Raw genomic sequence first — 20,624 nt, forward strand, 5'->3', positions numbered from 1 at the left:
TCATTTCTCTTCTCCTTTCCCCTGCTAACACCTCACCTCACATTACATTCTCTCCCAATACAAAAGAGTAACTTTTCTAAAACAGAAATGAAATTATTCCTTGGTTTATTCAAAACCATAATAATTTCTCATTATGTACAGAATTTAAAAAATAATTCATCTCATGATATGTAAGATCTTAATGAATCGGCTCCTCCTTTGGTAGATTGGTTGCCCAAATATTTTCAGCACTTTAGCTCTTCCTTTGCAATAGATTTTGCAAATCTTCCCAATAATAAAATATGGAGTCTGTTTCTTTACCCCATAAAAACTGGGTTGAACTTATGACCTGCTTCCCTCAATATAAGGCAGGCAGCAGAATGGACTCTCAGTTTCACACCTAGAATACGAGAAGTCTTGCATGTTTTACTGTCTTTTGGACCCTTACCTCTGTTACAAGTACAGACCTGAGCTATGTACTGCAGGATGAGAAACCACATGGCATAGAAGAGCCATCCCATTGGAGGCCATCCTAAACTGTCCCCTAGCTGAGTTACCACCACGTGACAGTAGATGTGTAATCAAGCCCAGCAGAGATGGATTGAATTAGGCCCAAAGACCCACATAAAATAATAAATGGTGGTTTTTTAGGCAACTAAAATTTTAGAGTAACTTGTACAAGGTATCAGGCATGAAACAATACCTGATATCTGTGTATTTTGCCATGAACATTTCCATCAATCCCAATTTATGTCCTCTTATTTAGTCTTAGTGGCCTTCCTTGAAGTCATGCTTATGCTTATTTCAGGAATTTGTACCTGTTCTTTCCTCTGTCTGCAGTACACTTACATGAGATTTTTCCATGGACTTTTCTCACTTTATTCTGCATTCTGTTCATACATAACCATCCCCCTTCCCTAGGAATGCCTTCATAATCATTATACTTTCCCCTCAGCATGCTGTTTTATTCCATAGCCATTATGTCTACCCAATATACATGGTATAATTATTTTTTTCATTTTCTTCACATATCCTTAGTAAATATATCAAAGAAACTGCACATAAAGAAATGATATATTTAGATATTTAACAGCTATATATTGAATATACAGTATCATTTTCTTGAAAAAAAACTCATGTTCTTCTGAAATATTTCTATATAAAATTAGCTCAAATAAGAACTACGGAGAAAATTTAGCTGGCACCAAAGACTGCTATGACAGATTGCATAAATGTATTGTTATCTTCTGTCTTTTTATTTTTATTTTTTTTTTATTTATTATTTCTTTTTAAAGACAGAGTCTCACTTTGTTGTCCAGGCAGCAGTGCAGTGGCATGATCTCGGGTCACTGCAACTTCAACCTCCCAGGTTCAAGCGATTCTCCTGCCTCGCCTCCTAAGTAGCTGGGATTACGGGCAGGTGCCACCACACCTGGCTAATTTTTGTATTTTTAGTAGAGACAGGGTTTCTCCATGTTGGCTAGGCTGGCCTTGAACTCCTGACCTCAGGGGATTTGCCTGCCTCAGCCTCCCAAAGTGCTGGGATTACAGGTGTAAGCCACTGTGCCCGGCTGTTATCCTCTGTCTTAGCTCACTTCCTGTTGCTTACAACAGAATACCTGAAACCAAGTAACTTATAAGGATAGAAAATTTATTTTTTTCTCTTCTGGAGGCTGGGAAGTTCAAAGTCAAGGGGCTGAATCTGATGAGTGTTTTCTTGCTGGTGGGCACTCTTTCCAGAATCCTGAGGTGGTGCAGAGCATCACATGAGGGGGCTGAGTGTGCTCATGTATCAATGTGCTCTCTTCCTTTTCTTATAAAGCCACCAGTTTCCGCCCCATGACAGTCCATTAATCCACTAACTGATTAATCCATAAATGGGTTAATCTATTCACAAGGGCAGAAGCCTCATCATCCAATTATCTCTTAGCGGACCTACCTCTCCATACTGCCACATTGGAAATTGTTTAAACATGAATTTTAGAGGGGACATTTCACTGTTTTAAAGGAATAATGCAAAGACCCTTCAAATTTGTTGATGTCAGTGTTTATGAATAATGAGAGGAAAAATCACATTTCAGAAAATAATTTGAACGAGTACATAACAAAATTTTATGGTTATTTTAAAACATACTGTTTTAATGCAACTTACAACTTAAAACTACTGATGCCACGTAGGTAACTTCTCCATTATTAATAAAAATGATGAACAACATGCCATAGTTATTCAATCAACAATTCCCAGAGATCACCTTGAATGTAAGGTCTGAAATAGACCTGGGATTGCCTTACTTGGATATTAAGCTTTATGGAGCAGCAACTCTTCATTTGCTTCTACTTTATATGAAAAGGACAGTGCTACAGACATAGAGCAGTACATTTTCAGCAAGCCACCCCAGGAATGTGCACCGATAGCCTCATTAAGGCTTGTAGAAGCTGTGCTACATTATTTCTCAACACATCACTCAATGTCTCCACATTATTTAATTCTTTCAATGCCATGTTTATGACATGACTCAGGATATAGAGTATGGGCACTACTAAAAAGAAATGTGGAGTTTGTGTCTTAGCAACGTTTAATTCTAGGGTTTTTTTTTTTCCTTTTGAAAGTATACAGATGCATCAGAAAGATTAGCATAAGTTTTGCCCCATATTAAAGATTAAGGAGACAGGAATATAGTTGTTTTCATTTCACTGTGAAGAAAAAGAAGGAAATAATTTTAAAGCAAACACATGGATTTAGTTACCTTCTGTTCTAAGCCCAATGCCAATACCAAATATAACAAGCAGTAAAGACGAATTTGGCAATTCCCACAGCCCTTTATACAGTGTACTCTTCTAGTGTTTGAAGCACCCAGCATGTTGCAATAATCACAACATATATGTTCAAAAAATCTTAACAGAATGAGCTTTGATTCAAGTGTTTCACAGTAAAATATATAATGAAATATTCTTGGTAAAATAAATAAAAAATATTAAGTATTTAAATAATGTGGTGAACAGTTTTTTCATGTTACTTTAATAATGCTAGAAGTATGGAAATTTTGGAAATCCAGTGTTTTATTACCATTAGCTTTTGATTTTTCTAGCTGATTTTTTTTAGCTATTATACTGTTTTTCAAATTAGATCAGAAACTTTTTCTGGTTTGTTCTCACTTCCTAAAAGCAAATATTACAATGAAATATTTAGCATCAATTTAATGGTGGATTAAAGATAGCTGCAGTTTCCTGGACACGCTTCCTTTTAAGATACAGATCTATTCTACCTTTGTTCCAACCAGAACTGACCTGTGACTGTTGGACAAATGTCACACACTGTAGAAATAATACTATGGTCAGTTCTGCTACCCTTATTTAAGAGAACTGGGAGTTTCTGTCTTGCTCTCTAAGGGTGCCAAGCCACCATGTAAGACGTCTAATCATCCTGCTAAAGAATGCATCTGAATACCGGAAGACAGAGAGGAGCCCAGATGAATACAGCCTTTCAACTGCCCCTCACAGGGCAGGCATGTGGGAAACGTCCCGGGTCCTGCAGACCTGTCTTCAGCTAAATGCCCAGTGACTCAGTCAACATCACATGAAGCAGAAGATTCAGCCAACTGAACCCAATGGGAATTTCTGACCCAGGAAATTATAAAATACAATAAATGGTTGTTATTCTAATATATTAAACTTTCAGTGGTTTATTATGAAGTTTTGAGTAATAAGAACAATATCCCTTTAGTCTACCCCAGGGTTTGGCAAACTCTTTCTGTAAATGGCATAAGAGTGAATATTGTAGACATTGCAGGCCATATTGTCTCGTTGCAACTACTCAACTCAGCCATGGTAGCACAAAAGCAACCATAGCAACATGTGAATACTTGTGTGTGGCTTGCTTTAATAACACTTCATTTATAAAAACAGGTGATAAACAGATTTGGCCCTTGCCATACTTAACCAACCTCTGGTCTACACAAAACTGTTGTCTAAACCTAAGTTCCGAATGCCTTCAATGAGAACACTAAATCCAAGTAAAATTAGATACTCAGGAAATTAACAACAATAGTAATTCCAATTTCAACATGAGGCAGTGAATTCACATAGAGTTATATAAGTTAGTGATAATTTTGTTTCTGTAAATAATTTTTACTGTTTTTTTAAATATTAGAGTTTAAGTGACATCATGGTGAGATGTACAGGGTATATTTGAATTGTTCTAAGCTGGGTACAAATACCAGAAGCGCCATACCTATACTAGCTTTATTTTTAACTGTATATTACAGATGTTAACTGCAAAGGGTTAAAAGGCCTACACTAACAAGGGTAAGCCCCAGCCTAATTTTTCATGCTCAGTCCTCAAATTTCCAGTGTAATCACGTTGACATTCTTAAACTTCCCATTCCTTTGTTAAGTTTAGAGCCCCAGAATGCACTTTCGCCAGACTTGCTTCTGCTTCTGAAAACTGATCGCTGAAATTTTGCCTTAAACCACGCATCATTGTCCTGTTTCTTTGTTTTTCGATTTTTTTCTCTTGATCGGCCTGAGTACTTGTAATGCATAAAACCTCTCCTAACTGCCAGAAGGCAGAATGTCTCATCTTCAGACTGAAACTCTTGCAAACAGGGAGAAAAGCCTTTCTTTTTCTTGCTCCACTCTGGTGGTTTCTACTTCAGGATCTTTTGACATAACTAATTTCTCAGTATTGTTTCCTCTTCTTTTAAATGCAAGTAAGAACAGACAAATTTATAAGATATTTAGGATGGTTAGATTTTACAATTGATTTTAAGTACTTAACAGTTTGTGTGAATCCAATAGATTCCCATTCTCTTTACTGCTTTTACTCAGCTGTAATATATTGTTCTTACATAAATATTAAATATGGACTGAACTACAAGGAAATTCATCTGGATCAAATTGTTGGTTTTGATTTTGTGTATTTGTGTTTACTACACACATTTTTTTAAAGTTTTCAATTTATTTATTTATAATATACACAGAAATACTATTTGGGGGATACAGCTCTATGAGTTTTGAGAAATTTATAGAGTTATGAAGCCACTACCAAAACCAAAGTATAAAGCAGTATCCTCACCCTAGAAATTCCAGCCTCCCCAACACTAGCTCCTGGCAACTTTTGACATACTTTTTATATCTACAACTTTAAAAATTCTTTTACAGAATATCATATAAAGTGGATCATGGCAAATATAGCCTTTAAAAAAATCTTTTTCTTATTTTAATAGACAATAATTATATTATATGTGAATGGGGTACAATGAGATATCATTATATATGTATATATAGTGAAATGATTAAATCAAGCTAATTATTACATATATTATCTCATACTTATATATTTGTGGTGAGAACATTTAAAAATCTTCTTTTTTAGTGATTTTAAAATAGACTTTATTATTGATTATAGTCATCATGCTGTGAAATAGGTCACTAAAATTTTTATTTCTCTTGTTTTTTTTTTTTTTTTTTTTTTTTTGAGACACACTCTCGCTCTGTCACCCAGGCTGGAGTGCAGTGGTGCGACCTCGGCTCACTGCAGCCTCTGCCTTCTGGGTTGAAGTGATTCTCTTGCCTCAGCCTCCCAAGTACTACAGGCACGTGCCACCATGCCTGGCTAATTTTTGTATTTTTAGTATAGACAGGGTTTCACCATATTGGCCAGGCTGGTCTCAAACCCCTGACCTCGTGATCCGCCAGCCTCGGCCTCCCAAAGTGCTGGGATTACAGGTGTGAGCCACCACACCCGACCTATTCTTCTTGTTTAATCAAAACTTTGCACCCTTGGACTAATATCTCCCCTTCCCTGTCCACTGTCCCACCTCTGGGAACCACCATTCTACTCTGTATTTCCGTGAGTTGCTATATACAACCTTCTGAATTTTGCTGTTACTGTTTTCACTTAGCATAACATTTGAGATCTGTCATGTTATTTCAGTGGTTCTTTCCTCTGTGGTACTGAATAATGCTCCATTGTATGAAAGTACCACACTTGATTCACCAGTTGAAGAAGACTCGGTTCCTAGTTATTACAAAATTACGCATAAAGCTTCTGTAATCAGCATTCCTGTGGTGGATTATGGTGGATTATGTCCTCCTCTCTCAATTCATATGCTGAAGCCTTCACCCCTAACGTGACTATGTTCAGAGTTGGAAGCTTTTAAGAGATAAGGCTGAACCAGGTTATATAGGTGGTTACAGGTTATTTGATTATTTTACTAGTGCTCTTGTAAGGAGAGGAAAAGACACTTGATCTCTCTCTGTCTCTCTCTCTCTCTCTTTCTGTCTCTCACATGCACTCTCTCAGCAAGAGGAGAGGCCATCTAGCCAGGAAGAGAGGACTCACTAAAAAAAATCAACCCTGACAGCACCTCGATATTGCACTTCTAGCCTCCAGAACTGTAAAAAAAAAAAAAATTAATAATAAATATACTGCTGTTTGAGCTATCCAGTCTGTGGTACTTTGTTATGGCAGCCTGAGAAGACGAATACAATTCTTTTCTCAGTTATTTTGTGTTGCTCTAAAGGAATAATGGAGGCTAGGTACTTTATTTATTTTTAAAAAGGTTTATTTGGCTTACAATTCTGACGGCTAAAAAGTTCAAGATTGGACTTCTGCATCTGGTGAGGGCCTCAGGCTGCTTCCACTCGAGGCTGCGGAAGGCGAAAGGGAGCGCGGTGGCGTGTGCAGATCTCATGGTGACAGAGGAAGCAAGACAGAGAGCGGGAAGTACCAGGTCCTTTAAAACAGCCAGCTCTCAGGAAACTAACAGAATGAGAGCTGATTCATCCCCAAGGAAGGGCAGTAAACTATTCAAGAGGAAGCCACCCCCACAACCCAAACACCTCCCATTAGTCCCCATTTTCAATAGTAGGGATCAAATTTCAATATGAGGTTTGGAGGAGACAAACATGCAAACCATAGCAATTGCTATGTAAATATTGTGTGAACATGGGTATTTTTCTCCTGTATAAATATCTGTGAGTGGGAATATTGAATGGTTTCTAATGTTTCATAAGCAATTGCCAAACTATTTTCCAGTCTGTATCACTTTTTATTCCCATCAACAATATATAGACCTCTAGGTGCTCCACATCTTGGGGGTTACTTGTTATAGCAATCTATCTGTCTATCTATCTATCTGTCTATCTATCTATCTGTCTATCTATCTACCTATCATCTATCTTTCTGCTTTCATCTATCTGTCTATAATTATCTTCATCTATCCATTACAATTTATCATTCTAATAAATGTACAGTGGTATTTCTTGGTTTTAGCTTTCATTTTTCTTATTTCTAATGACTAGTAATGTTGACCATTTTTCATGTATTATTTGCCATTTGTATATTGATTTTGGTATTCAAATATTTTGTTCATTTTGTATTAGGAAGTTTTCTTTTAACTTTTGCTTTAAAAACACATATTCTGAATACAAGCTTTTTATTTTTTTGGCCTTATGTGGGTTTTGCAAATGTGTTCTTCCAGTAAAGTTTGCCTTTTCATTGTCTTTAACCGTTTTTTTCTAGAACTAAACATTTTAATGTCAATGAGGTACATATGTACACTATATAAATGCTGTTGCTATTGTATCTATAAAATCTGCAAACTGGAGGGTGCATTTTCTTCTATATTTTCTTTTAGAAGTTGTATAATATGAGGTCTTACATTGTTCTATAATCACCTTTGAGTTTATTTTTATATACAGTTCAAGGTAGGAATTGAGATTCACTTAAATATGTTTGCATATGAATGTAAACAGCTCCAGCAACATTTGGTGAAAAATCTATCATTTCTCCTTGTAAATGAGTTTGCACCTTGGTAAAAAATTACTTGATATATCTACGGATCTATTTCTGCATTCTCTATCCAGTTCCATTGGTGTATCTGCTTATTCTTTCTTCAATATCACATTGTCTTGCTTCCTGTAGCTTCCAAGTAAGTCTTGCAATCAGGTAGCTTGAGTCTTCAGCTGTGTGTGTGTGTGTGTGTGTGTGTGTGTTGTGTGTGTGTGTGTTTTCCAGATCATTTTGGCCATTTCTGTTCATCGACTTTCTATATAAATTTTAAAAATCATCTTGTAAATTTCTACAAAAAAAGCTTCAGAAAAAAATGATTGAGATGGCTTTTAACAATATATTACTATGTGAAGAATTGCCACTGATACCTAGTTATCCAAGCAAAGAACATAGTATATCTCTCTGTTTGTTTTTGTCTTTTAAAATTTCTTCTATTGATGATTTCTAGTTTTAGGATATAGACCCTGAACATATTTTGTTAGGTTTATACTTAATATTTCATATTGACAGAGCTACCTAAATAATATTTATTTCTTCTTCCTATATACTAGCAATGAAACCCTATGGGCCTGAAGATTGCTTTTGAGGGAATATTTAAGTTATAAATTTATTTTCCTTAATAGATATAGGGCTACTCAAATAATCTATTTCATTTTGGGTGAGTTGTGGTTTGTGTTTTGGAAGAATTTGCCCACACTTTTCAAGTTGTCCAATTGATGTGTGTATAGTTGTATTGCTATTCCCTTATTATTTTTGGGATGTCTTCAGGGTCTGTAGTAATAGCCTATTACTGATTATTTTAATTTGTGTCATGTCTCTCTTTTCTATTCATGCTAGAGGTATGTTCCACAAATTTTGATATTTAATATTCATACATCTACTTAGTTAAATATAATTTTGTATATTGACCTTGAGACTTTCTTTTTGAGCCATGGTTTCTTTAGAAGTGTGTTATTTTATTTCTAAGCACTTGGAAATTTTCCCACTTTATTTTGATTATTAATTTATACTTTGATTCCATTGTGATCCAAGAACACATTCCGTGTGGTTTCGGTTATTTTAAATTAAATTAGTTTGTTTCACAGAGATAGATATGTTCTATCTTGCTATATTGTCCATGGCCATTTGAAAAGAGTAAGTATTTTGAGTGAAACATTTTAAGACGTTGATTTGGTCCTGTAGATGGATGGTATTGTTGGATTGTTCTATATTCTTTCTAATTTCCTGTCTAGTTCAGTTAATTGTTAAGAAAAAGAAGTTTCAGTCTCCAACAATAATTATTCATTTGTCTATTTCTCCTTTCAGTTCTGTCAGTTTTCTCTTGTAAATTTTATAGCTCTGTTATTTGATTTATACACATTTAAGATTTCTATGTCTATGTGGTGGATTTATATTTTTATTATACAATGTCCATTTCTATCACTGGTAATTTTCTTTCCCTTGAAGCCTACTTTCTCTGACGTTAATACAGGCACTCCTCTTTGCTGTTGATTCAGGCTTGAATGATATATCATTCTCATTTTTTTACTATCCACCTGCTTGTGGACAGTGTTTGTTGGAAAATATATTTTAATCAACTTCATGTATCTCTTCATTTTAATTGGTATATTTTGACTATATAATGCAATTACAGATATTTACTATTAAAGTCTACAATTTATTATTATTTTTGTTCTGTTTGTTTTTTGTTTCTGTTTTTTTTTTCTCCTGCTTTCCTGTGGGTTAAGTGAACAATTTTTAGAATTCAATTTAGATTGCCTATACTGTTTGTTATATACACTTTGTATATCCTGTCTTAGTGGTTCTTTTAGGTATTATATTCTATATACATAACATGACCAGTGACCGATGTCATCATTTTACCAACTTAAGTGGGATGTAGAAAACTTACCTTTCTTTATGTTCTGATACTTTCCTCTTTTACAATCATTTTAAACATTTCTTCTACATAACATTTTAAAATGAATTAGTGTTAAAAATTGGTTCAACCACTAAATTTAAATTAGAAAACTTGAGAGAAGGAAAGAATATCATATATACCCATAATTCTGCTTATTATATTCTTTTTTCTTCCTCATAGTCAAAGATTTCTCTTTTTATAATTTCTCCTCTGTTTAGTGAATTTCCATTAGCCATTCTTTTTAAAAAAATATCAGTCTACTGGTGATAAATTCTCTTAGTTTTCCTTTATATTATAATGCTGAAAAATATTCCTTTTATTTATGAAAAATATTCATGCTGGATAGAGGATTCTGCTTTAACAGTTACTTTCTGTTTACACATGAAAAACGTGCCACTTTCTCCTGAGCTCCAAGTCTTCTAATCAAAATTCACTGTCATATAAATTATCTTTCTTGTAGTGATTTGTCATTTTATTCTCTTTGCTTTTAAGATTTTTCTTTTCAGAAACTTGACAACAATATATATTGTGATAAGTGTGTGTGCTTTGTGTGTGTGTTGGGAGTGGTTTATGATGGAAGTCACTCTGTGTCTTTAATCTGTAGGTTTATGTTTTTTCAAACATTTGTTGAGCCATTATTTTTTCAAGCACTTATTAACTTACCCACTTTGTCCTCCCCTTCCAGGACTTCATATCACACAAATATTAGATCTTTTGTTGTAGATGCACAGTAATCTGAAGCTCTATTTTTTTTTAATTTTTTGGTCTATTTTCTTTCTGTTGCTCAGATTGGATAATTACTATAGTTCTATCTTCTGGTCCACTGAATATTCACTCTGTTTCCTCTATTTTTCTGTTAAGCTCACCCATTATTTTTCAGTTCTAAGATTTCCATTGAAATCTGTTTTATATCTTCTAAATCTTTGTTGACACTTTCTATTGCTTTGTTGGTGCATGCTATTTTTGTTTAAATTCTTTTGTTTTAATTACTAGTTGAAGCTCTTTCTGTCAGATAATTCTAGCCTTCCATTACCTCAATGTTGGCATTTATTAATTGCCTTTTTCAGTCAGTTGGAAATCTTCTTTGTTCTTGAAGTGAGTGATCTTCAATCAAAACTTGTCTGGATCTTATTTAAACCCTTTGTTTTAGTTGAGTGCCTCTGACTTCACTTTAGCAGAAGAAAGGAGATGTCTGCAAGGTTCTCTGCTCAGCCTCCATTGACAACAGGATGGGACAGAGTCTCCCTGTTAGTGCTGGGTGGGAGTGGGGGTTCTGCCTCCCCCTGGGCTTCCACAGATACATTTCTGAACGTAAAAAATCTCTCTGCCTCCTTTTCTCTTCTTATAAGGGCACTTGTCATTGGATTCAGGGCCCGCTGTAGTCAAGTATGAACTCATTTCACTATCACTAATTACAACTGTAAGGGCTCTATCTCCAAATCATATCACAATCTGAGATGCCGGTGTTCCATGAATTTGAATAGAACACTATTCAACCCACTACACCTTCTCAAGCTCCTCTTCTTTAACAACACCTCAACCTTTCCATTTCTAGGAAGGAGAGAAAAAGAGAAAGAGACATACACAGAGGGACAGAGTGGAGAGTCTCTATTGGTCATGCTCATTAAGCATCCTGATATTAAGCCTGTGCTATGGTTTGAATGTATCTTTCAAAGTTCATGTGTTGGAAACAATCCCCAATGCAACAGTGTTGAAAGGTGGAACCTTTAAGAGGTGCTTATGTTGTGAGGGCTCTGCCCTCATGAATGGATTAATGCCATGATCTGAAGTAGGGTGGTTATCTTGAGAGTAGGTTCCTGATAAAAGGAAGAGTTCACCCACCTTCACTTCTCTTGCAAGTATTCTCACTTACCCTTTGCCTTGCCCCAAGGTATAACACAACAAGAAGGCCTTTGCAGGATGTGGGAACCTTGCCCTTGGACTTCCCAGCCTCCAGAACTATAAGATATAAATCTCTGCTTTTTATAAATTACCTAGTCTCAGGTATTCTGTCACGGCCACACAAAGTGAATTAAGATATACCACCCTGACACTTAGTCAGAAGATAGGAAAGGGAAACGGACTAGAAAATTCACTGCTGTGTTGTTGTTCTTTTAGATTCTATTACCCTCCTCGGCCTGCCTGGAATTATTTATTTTAAGAGTCATCAGGTTTTACATTTTCTGTTCAGGGATTTTAGTTATAATTAATGGGAGACATAGCATGGTATGTATTGATTTCATCTTAGCTAGAACCAGAAATCTTCAGTCCAATTATATTTAATGTAAATATCCATCTGGCTATGTTTAGGTCTACCATATTTTAATTTTTTTCTTTGTCCTTTTTAACTTTTATTCTTCTATTCTCTCTTTCCTGCATTCTTTATATTTACTTGGATATTTTTGTGTTCTATTTTTATTTATGAATTAACTTTTTAAAGTGACATATCTTTATATTATTTTCATGGTTCCTCTACAGAATATAATGCCTAAATTTTCACATTCTAGTTGGTTGCCATAGTGGTCATAAATACATGTATATATTATTTATTATACATATATATATCCAATATATTACTTATATGTATCTACCAGAAAATACTGTCATAATATAAATTTTTGCTTTCAACAATTATCTTTCAAATAATTTATCCAGACAGCTGCCATTTTTGTTACTATTCTTTCAATTCTGAAGATCCAAATTTCTTTCTTCCTTTAGTCTAAAGATATTTCTTTAGCATTCCTTTAGGGTAGGACTTCTGACAACATATTTTTCCAGTCTTCTTTTATTTATAATGTTTTGATATTGTCTTTATTTCTGAAATTTAATTTTGCTGAATACAGAGATTTAGGTTGACAGCTCTCTTCCTTCAGCACTTTCAAGATGCTCTTCTACTATATTCTGGCCTTTGTAGTTTCTGGTAAGACCTGCTATTTATGTAGTTTTTCTCATATATATAAAATACTATTTTTCCCTACCTACCTTCACGTTTTCTCCCCCCTTTGACTTTTAGAAATGTGGCTATGATGGGTCTTGGTTGGCTTCCTTAAGTTCATCTTGTTTGAGGTTTCACAAGATTTTTGAACCCGTAAATTTATATTTTTCTTCTCAAATTTTGAAAACTCTATTATTTTGTCAAATATTTTTATTTTCCTATTTCTATTGTCTATCCTTCTAGTGCTTTGATGGAATATATATTATATCTCTTGATATTAGGCCAGGAGCTCTGTTTATTTTTGTTTTAAATTTTTTTTTCTCTCTGACCTTCAGGATTTATAAATGTTATTGATTTATCTTCAGATTCACTTAACCATCTTCTGTCATCTTCATTGTGCTATTAAGCCCATATAATGATTTTATTTTACAACTATTCCTTTTCCTTGTCCTAAAATGTTCTTTTGATTCTTTTTTATTTCAATGCTAAGAACTTCTGTCTTTCCATTTATATTTAAGTATGTTTATCTTTTTCTTATGGAGGACAATTATACTAGATGATTAAAAGTCTTTATTTGATCATTTCAATGTCCAGGTCATTTCTACATTAGTATTTGTTGATTTTCACTTTGCTTGAGAATTGGCCATATTTTCCTGGTTCCTTGTGAACTTAGTAATTTTGGATTATATCAGTGACATTTTGAATGTTATGTTTAGATTATGAATACTGTTATAATCTAGAGAGTGTTTATTTTCTTTAGTTTTGCAGAAAATCAAACTCACTGGTTTCAGGCCATGAGGCTAGTTTGCCTTCTTTAAATGCTAGTTTCAATCCCAGCTTTTCAGGGTCTTTGCTATGTTGCAGCACGTCCATCCCACATATGTAGATGTCATAAATGAGCCCCAGATTAGTTTCCACTCATGCACAAAATTGAGAACTCTTCTTTTCTTGTTGTCTCCCCTCTAAGATATTCTGTGACACTCTCTGGCCCACACAGTTTTCTTTATCCAGTTCCATTAGATTTTATTTTTCTACTTCTCTTGAGTGCACTTGTACCACTGGAACCTGCCTTTGGGGCACACCATAAGAACAATGAGTATAAAATAATAAAAATAAAGAGGAAACACATTCCTTTACAGGTTACTTCCTCTGATTTTGACTTCCTTCTGTGATCTACTTGTTCTTACTTATTTTTTAAACTCTTCAGATAATTGCTTTTTTTGTACTTTATTTAGTTCTTCATTGTAATCAGTAGGAAAGATAACCCATAGTGAATATATCCTACCATGCTGGAAGAATTGAAAAACCTTGGTATTTTCAATTCCTGATGAGTCAGATGGTTCTGAAGATTTTATTTGTTCCATTAAAGACTTTTTTTTTTTCCCACAAAATAGCATCACACTTGATGGGAAAATGGCTGAAAAACTAGGAAACTGAACATAATTAATATAATTAATAAATGCTAACAAAGTTTCTATTCTAAAGGAAAAAGTTTCTAGGTCTATTGGAATGAAAATTTAGCTTTAATCACCAATACTTCATTTTCTGAAAATTCATCTTAATATCAAAATAAAAAGACCATACTATTTTTAGAGAAATATATCTCATCCTATTTGATCATCATAATTATGAAAATCTCAATAATATGAATGAAAATCCATAAAAACCAGAGTAAGAAAGATATTAAGCAAAACCATAAATATAGTTCTACATCATATTTTTTCATTTTCTAACATTGGAGATATACACACAACTCATTACTATTCTGAGACTTTTGTTAGCAAGGATTAACATTGTCCTTCTTTAGATTCCACATGCACATAAATATTAAATATATATTCTCATCCATTTTTTTCTTGTAATCCAAACAGAAAGCTGTAGAATGTAGTAAGGGATTATTACAAAAACTGAGCATATCCTCCAAACAGATTAAAGGAACATATCTATTATTAATCCTGATGTTTCCAAGCATATTAAATATTGTTTAACCTGCTACAAATAATTGAACTTGTATAACCACTGTATGTGCCAATATTAAGAATTAGGCATACTCTTGATTAATGTAGTAGATGGTTTCAGGCCTCAAGGCCTTAAAGCAGTGCTGTAAATCTGCTTATATATTAAAAGAGCCCTTGAAGCTTTAACTTTATATTATCCTTCTAGTTGGTTGCTTAGTACAAACTACATAAACTTAAGTAGCTGTCAATATCTACGATGAAGTTAATCATTGTGTTGTTAAAAGGGTTTTGTTAAAAGGAAAAATTCATCATTTGTATTTAATAATTGGTCAAATTGTATTGAAGTTAAAAAGTTTTTCATTTGTTTATATCTACAGGAAATATGAATTTGGCAATTACCATTAACATTTAAAATTGTAAAGTGAAAAAAATATAGTTCCTAGACTTCAAGAAATCTAATTAAGATGGAAAGCCATATACTGAAGAAATATCACATTACTAACCCAGGCAGGATATGTTAAATCACCTTGGACGACTAAAATTCTGCTGCTTTTCTCATCTATGAAATGAGTTTGACACTACATTTTTAAAGTTTCAAAAACAGTTGCCAAATTAGTGCTCTATACATAAGTAGTGTACACCAATAAAGGATGGAAGATGAATGATTGTTAGTCCCATGTCTATAAATGCTTATCAATTTCTAGTTAATAGTGAGTTATTAACATTCAACCAAGTAAAGAGATTATCCCACCCTAAAAAAAATTTGAAAGTATAATTATATGATTTATTAATAATATAGTGATACAATATAATTTGATATAATAAACTAAATAAAATTAGAGATTTGATATCACACTACCCTATACTGGCTAAAACACACCTGAGTATTATAGTATCTATATTTTATTAAATAAAAAACAACATCTTTAATGGTAAAGCCACTCAAAGTATTTCAAATTAAAAATGAGCCAAAGAAGTTTTTATGAATGGACACAAATTAGTTCTTCAATTAGCCAAAGGCTGTCTTTAAGGAGTTTGAACAAAGGCATTCTGCAAAATCATAAAGAATATTAACAATGAATGAATAAAAAGAGATATATATCTTTTTTTACAATCGGGTATACCATGGAATTGTCCTATCAGATGTTACTCTTTAAAATGTTCTTATGATCAAGTAATTTTAGAAAACATGGAATATCAAATATTCTAAAAAATTTACAGCACACTTGTAAATTTCAAGATTATTTTGTTGAGCCTTCATTATGTAGGCATGAGTGACTGAATCATGAGTCACTTGGTTGAACACAATCTGCAGTCCGGCCTCCTCTCTTCTGCAGAGGCCAGGCGGATATCACTTAGCTCCAATGTCCTGACCTTCTAACCACATGTTCTTTCTGCCATGGCCAACCCCAGCCTCCATCATTTATTTACCGTAAATCATGGATCACCTCATTAGCATAACGGCCTAGGAAGTATAACAAAAACACTCCAATCGCTTGATAAATTCTAGCAGTTTAGAGGTTACCTCCCAGGAACCTGGGATATATGCCAGCCAAATTCATTATTACACAAAGGTGCACCTCAGAATAATCAAGAAAGCATCCCATGAAAGAGCCTGTACTCAGACATCTGCCCCAGAAAAGGGGGGTTTCAACATCAGACTGTAATGGCAACATTCAAGTAATAAATTCTAATGCTCTTCCCCTAAATTTTGCTGCTCTGACCCTGGATAGAGGAAGTGGGGTTGAGATGGAGCAAGAAAGACAGAGGAAATTACAGCTTCTTTATCCACTGCTGGTTTCTCCGAGCATTGACTTGCCAGGGAGCTGTGAGGGAGAGGAACTTTTTTAATGGAATGATGATTTATATTTTATTTACATTGAGATAGGTTGTTAATTTCTGAAAATGAGATTGAGAGTAACTTGGAAGTTTTGCCTTCTGCCCCATATTTTCTCCAGTGCCAGAGACAAGAAATCCAATACGGTAGGCTTAGAAAAGCATGGTGGGAGGAAAAACAAATTGATTTTGCCCTTTCTGGTTCAGCTAGTTCAATAATCTATTTGTGAGTGCATTTCAATCCCTTAGGAAATTGTAATTTAACTCTCACTGTCCGTGGTCAAACATGCTTTACCACAGGTCTTCCACTAACATTGTTTTGTTCAACGTTGTTTTGTCATAATGTTGATAAGAAAATAAAAAAAATAATAATAATAAAAAAATGGCTTTCTAGCCAGAGCCACTGTCTGTGTGGACGCTGCATTTTCTCCTTACATCCTCATGGGTTTTCTCCTAGGATTCTGGTTTCCTGCCACATCCCAAAGCTGTGTATGTTTGGTTCACTGGTGTGTGTACATTGTCCCAGTGTGAGTGAGTGTGGGTGACTGTGAATCACCCTGCTGTGGGATGATACCCTGGACTGAAATAAGCAGGTAAATAATTATCTTACTTGTTTTGATTAATCCCTTTTAAATGTATGTATATAGCACACATGTATTTCAATGTTTCATATTAGAAGTATTTTGGTGTTTGTTTGTTTGTTTAGAAGTTTGGTAATGTTTTTGTGACCAGGAACTTTAGTCCATATCAATTAACCTATGGGAAAATTGGTTTCTTTATAGTCATTTTGCTTGAAGTCTCAGTTTCCAAGAACTGACCGGCAATGTTGAGTGAGCACTTACTGCACAGGCACTTGGTGGGGATGGTTGTAAGGAAATAAAGATAGGCTCAATTTGTCCTAGACTTTACTGTCCCCTCCAGTCCTGGGTTTCTCTCATCAGGTTCACATAGGAGAGCATCACTGTCATCTGGAGTTTAGAGGGTTTTGTCCTGAACTGCCCACTGAGGTTGCTCCAAAAGTGGTAGCAAGGTTCCCACAAGGAAGTGCCCCAAACCTTCCTGGGAGGAGGCTGGCTGGGATTCCAGAGAAAGAAGCACTAAACGAGAGGGAGATCAGTCCAAAGCCCTTGTAGAGGCCCTTTGTACAGAGTGCTGCAGCAATCCTGGAGATGGACAGAGAGAACAAAGGGATGTTCTAGCTAGGAATGCCTGCAGCCAGAAGGCCAGGATGTGGAGTTTACATCAGGGTTTAATGCATTTGGCTCAGGGCTGGGCCAGTTTCTTTCAGTGTTTTGGACAACAACCTAGATGGCTTTATCGGTGCCTGGGAATATTCAGGGCCTAGTATGGGATCCAGCCTGCTAGGAAAACATCAGCTTGCTGTGCCACTCTGTGATTTTTTTAAAGCACTGTACGATTTTTTTTTTTTTTATCTCAGGACACAGAAGGAAAGTGACCTTACAGGGGAGAGATTCACAGAATTAGTTACAACTTTCCTTTATCACTTAACATTGGAGTTCATACTGCTATATTGATATTCTATTGAAACTAAATATTGAAGTCACATGGTCATGATGAATAGCAAACATTTATATATCACCTACTATGTCAGAATATTTCAAATATTTTTCTATTTTAACTTATTTAATTCTCTCCATAAGCCTAAAGTTGGGTTCTTTTACTACCAGCATTTTACGGATAAGAAAACTAAGACACAGAAAGGTTAAGTAAAATTCCTAATGTTAAACAGCCGGTTAGTCTTCGACTCAAGTATTTATCCAAGTATACTATCTCTAAATTCCACATAATCCACTACTATCGAACTGCCTCTAATGTAATCAAAATCATATTATGAGTGCAAGGCATCTAAAAACTAGTCTGTTTCAGCAGGGCGTGGTGGCTCACACCTGTAATCCCAGGACTTTGGGAGACTCAGGTGGGCAGATCAATTGAGGTCAGGAGTACAAGACCAGCCTGGCCAACATGGTGAAACCCCATCTCTACTAAAAATACAAAAATTAGCCAGGTGTGGTGGCAGGTGCCTGTAGTCCCAGCTCCTCGGGAGGCCGAAGCAGGAGAATTGCTTGAATCTGTTAGGCGGAGGTTGCAGTGAGCCGAGATCTTGCCACTGCCCTCCATACTGGGCGACACAGTGAGACTCTGTCTCAAAAACAAACAAACAAACAAACAAACAGACCAGTCTATTTCAAGTTCCTTACCATACGGTTGAGGTACAAAATTAAATAGCAAGCTAATGAAGATAGGTACAGTGTAGCAATACCATTATTTTTTTTAACACCAATCTTCTGACTCTTTTTACAATGTCCTTTTGATTGATTATTTTAGAAACTTTTATCTTCCTTTGTTTTAATTCCAGGGAACCTTTCTTTAAATTGAATCTCCTGTGGAATCTGCTGCATAAAACTGAAAAGTCCCACTGAGCTGAAGTGGGAATTCAGAGCTTTGCTTGCTCCCCACCACCTGTTCTTGTCTTGTTTGACATCTCTGTGCTATTTCATGCATCTCTTTTTAGAGTTACATTTCCCTTAGCATCTGTGACACAAGACCCCTCTAATTCTCATGCTACTTCATAATGTCTTATTTTTTAACCTTATTTAACAGGGGGTGGGGACAGGGAACTGCAAATCTTCATCTGCTCACAGTTTAAATGTAAATATATGACAAATTTTCTGGTGACAGTACTGTATAGATAAAAATTTGAGAAAAGCAAGTAGTGTTCAACAAGAGACTTGAAAGATAAGAAGTAATTTCACAATGAGAAGGAAATGGATAATGGATTACCTCAGAAGAAGGAGGAAAGTACCGGTTAATTCAAGTTATGATATTATTGAATTGAAAAAGTGCAGGCAGAAAATGTATCTTTTGAGTTAAATAGCATATACCTTTCTTATTAGTTAAAATAGTCTTCACTGTCTTTAACCTAAAGAGTTACAGTGTTCCCAGTGGGATTTAAAGTTACTTTTTAATGAGATAAGGAATCATAGAACCTAATTAACTTATCATTAAGAAAACTAGAGAGATTTAAAAATATACATAATTCTTGGGGCAGGGAGAGAAAGGAGAAACAATATATTATACCATTCACTCTTGGAGTAGGTACAGTGTGAAAACTAGAAATAGAATAGAACAACATTTATACACAGCCCTTTTCCAGTATGACTTTCCCTTATTGGGCATATTTGAAGTGGGTATCATTCAGAATGTAATCAATAGATTAAAATTTGGGAGATGATGGTTAAAGTTATTTTTTTTCCCTTTGGATCCCTTCATAGGCAGCTGGCACATAGGAATAGTTGGTGACTATGTCCCAAAAAGTCTTTATTTTATTTTGTTATTTATTATTTATTGATTTACTCTTCGAGACAGGGTCTTGTTCGTTTGCCCAGGCTGCAGTGCAGTGGCAAGATCATGGTTCATTCCAGCCTCAAACTCCTTGGCCCAAACACTCTTCCTGCCTCAGCCTCCCAAGTAGCTGGTAGTGCAGACTTGTGCTACATCACCCAAGTTTTTATTATTATTTTTTGTAGAGAGAGGGTCTTGCTATTTTTCCCAGGCTTGTCAAACTCCTGCCCTTAAGGGATCCTCCTGCCTTGCCCTCCCGAAGTGTTGGGAATATAGGCATGGGCCACCATGCCCTGCCAGTATATTTTATTTGAATTTGGTAAAACCAATACAAACACATAACGCTAAAGGAAAGAATCTCGCTCTGTCGCCCAGGCTGGAGTGCAGTGGAGCGATCTCGGCTCACTGCAAGCTCTGCCTCCCGGGTTCACGCCATTCTCTTGCCTCAGCCTCCTGAGTAGCTGGGACTACAGGCACCCGCCACCACGCCCAGCTAATTTTTTGTATTTTTAGTAGAGACAGGGTTTCACCGTGTTAGCCAGGATGATTTCGGTCTCCTGACCTTGTGATCTGTCTGCCTTGGCCTCCCAAAGTGATGGGATTAGAGGTGTGAACCACGGCGCCCGGCCGGAAAGATTCTTTTTAAACATCAAGTAATAACTAATCAGTGAACTGCCAGTTAATTTGAACTGATTGGTGATACAAGCAACATGAGACATTAGGACTGGCATTCAAGGATGAAAATAGAGCTACAAATAATCAAATATTATTATGGATGCCCAATTATTAAGCAAACTTAACATCTCATTGAATAGATTACACATCTCCTGAGTAGTTTATATTATATGGGTGTAGGAG

The 20,624-nt window shown here is 35.3% G+C and overlaps 1 annotated feature.

Moving 5' to 3' along the window:
- Positions 2,315-2,484: an enhancer, noted in NCBI's record as "experimental_76540 CRE fragment used in MPRA reporter constructs". NCBI's record gives its function as "activates a minimal promoter by MPRAs in K562 erythroleukemia cells, with activity observed for both the introgressed and non-introgressed 4:180503479 variant alleles {active_cell/tissue: K562}" and the evidence as "EXISTENCE:reporter gene assay evidence [ECO:0000049][PMID:34662402]".

This window comes from Homo sapiens, chromosome 4 (genome assembly GCF_000001405.40).
Source record: "Homo sapiens chromosome 4, GRCh38.p14 Primary Assembly".
Classification (NCBI taxonomy): Eukaryota; Metazoa; Chordata; class Mammalia; order Primates; family Hominidae; genus Homo; species Homo sapiens.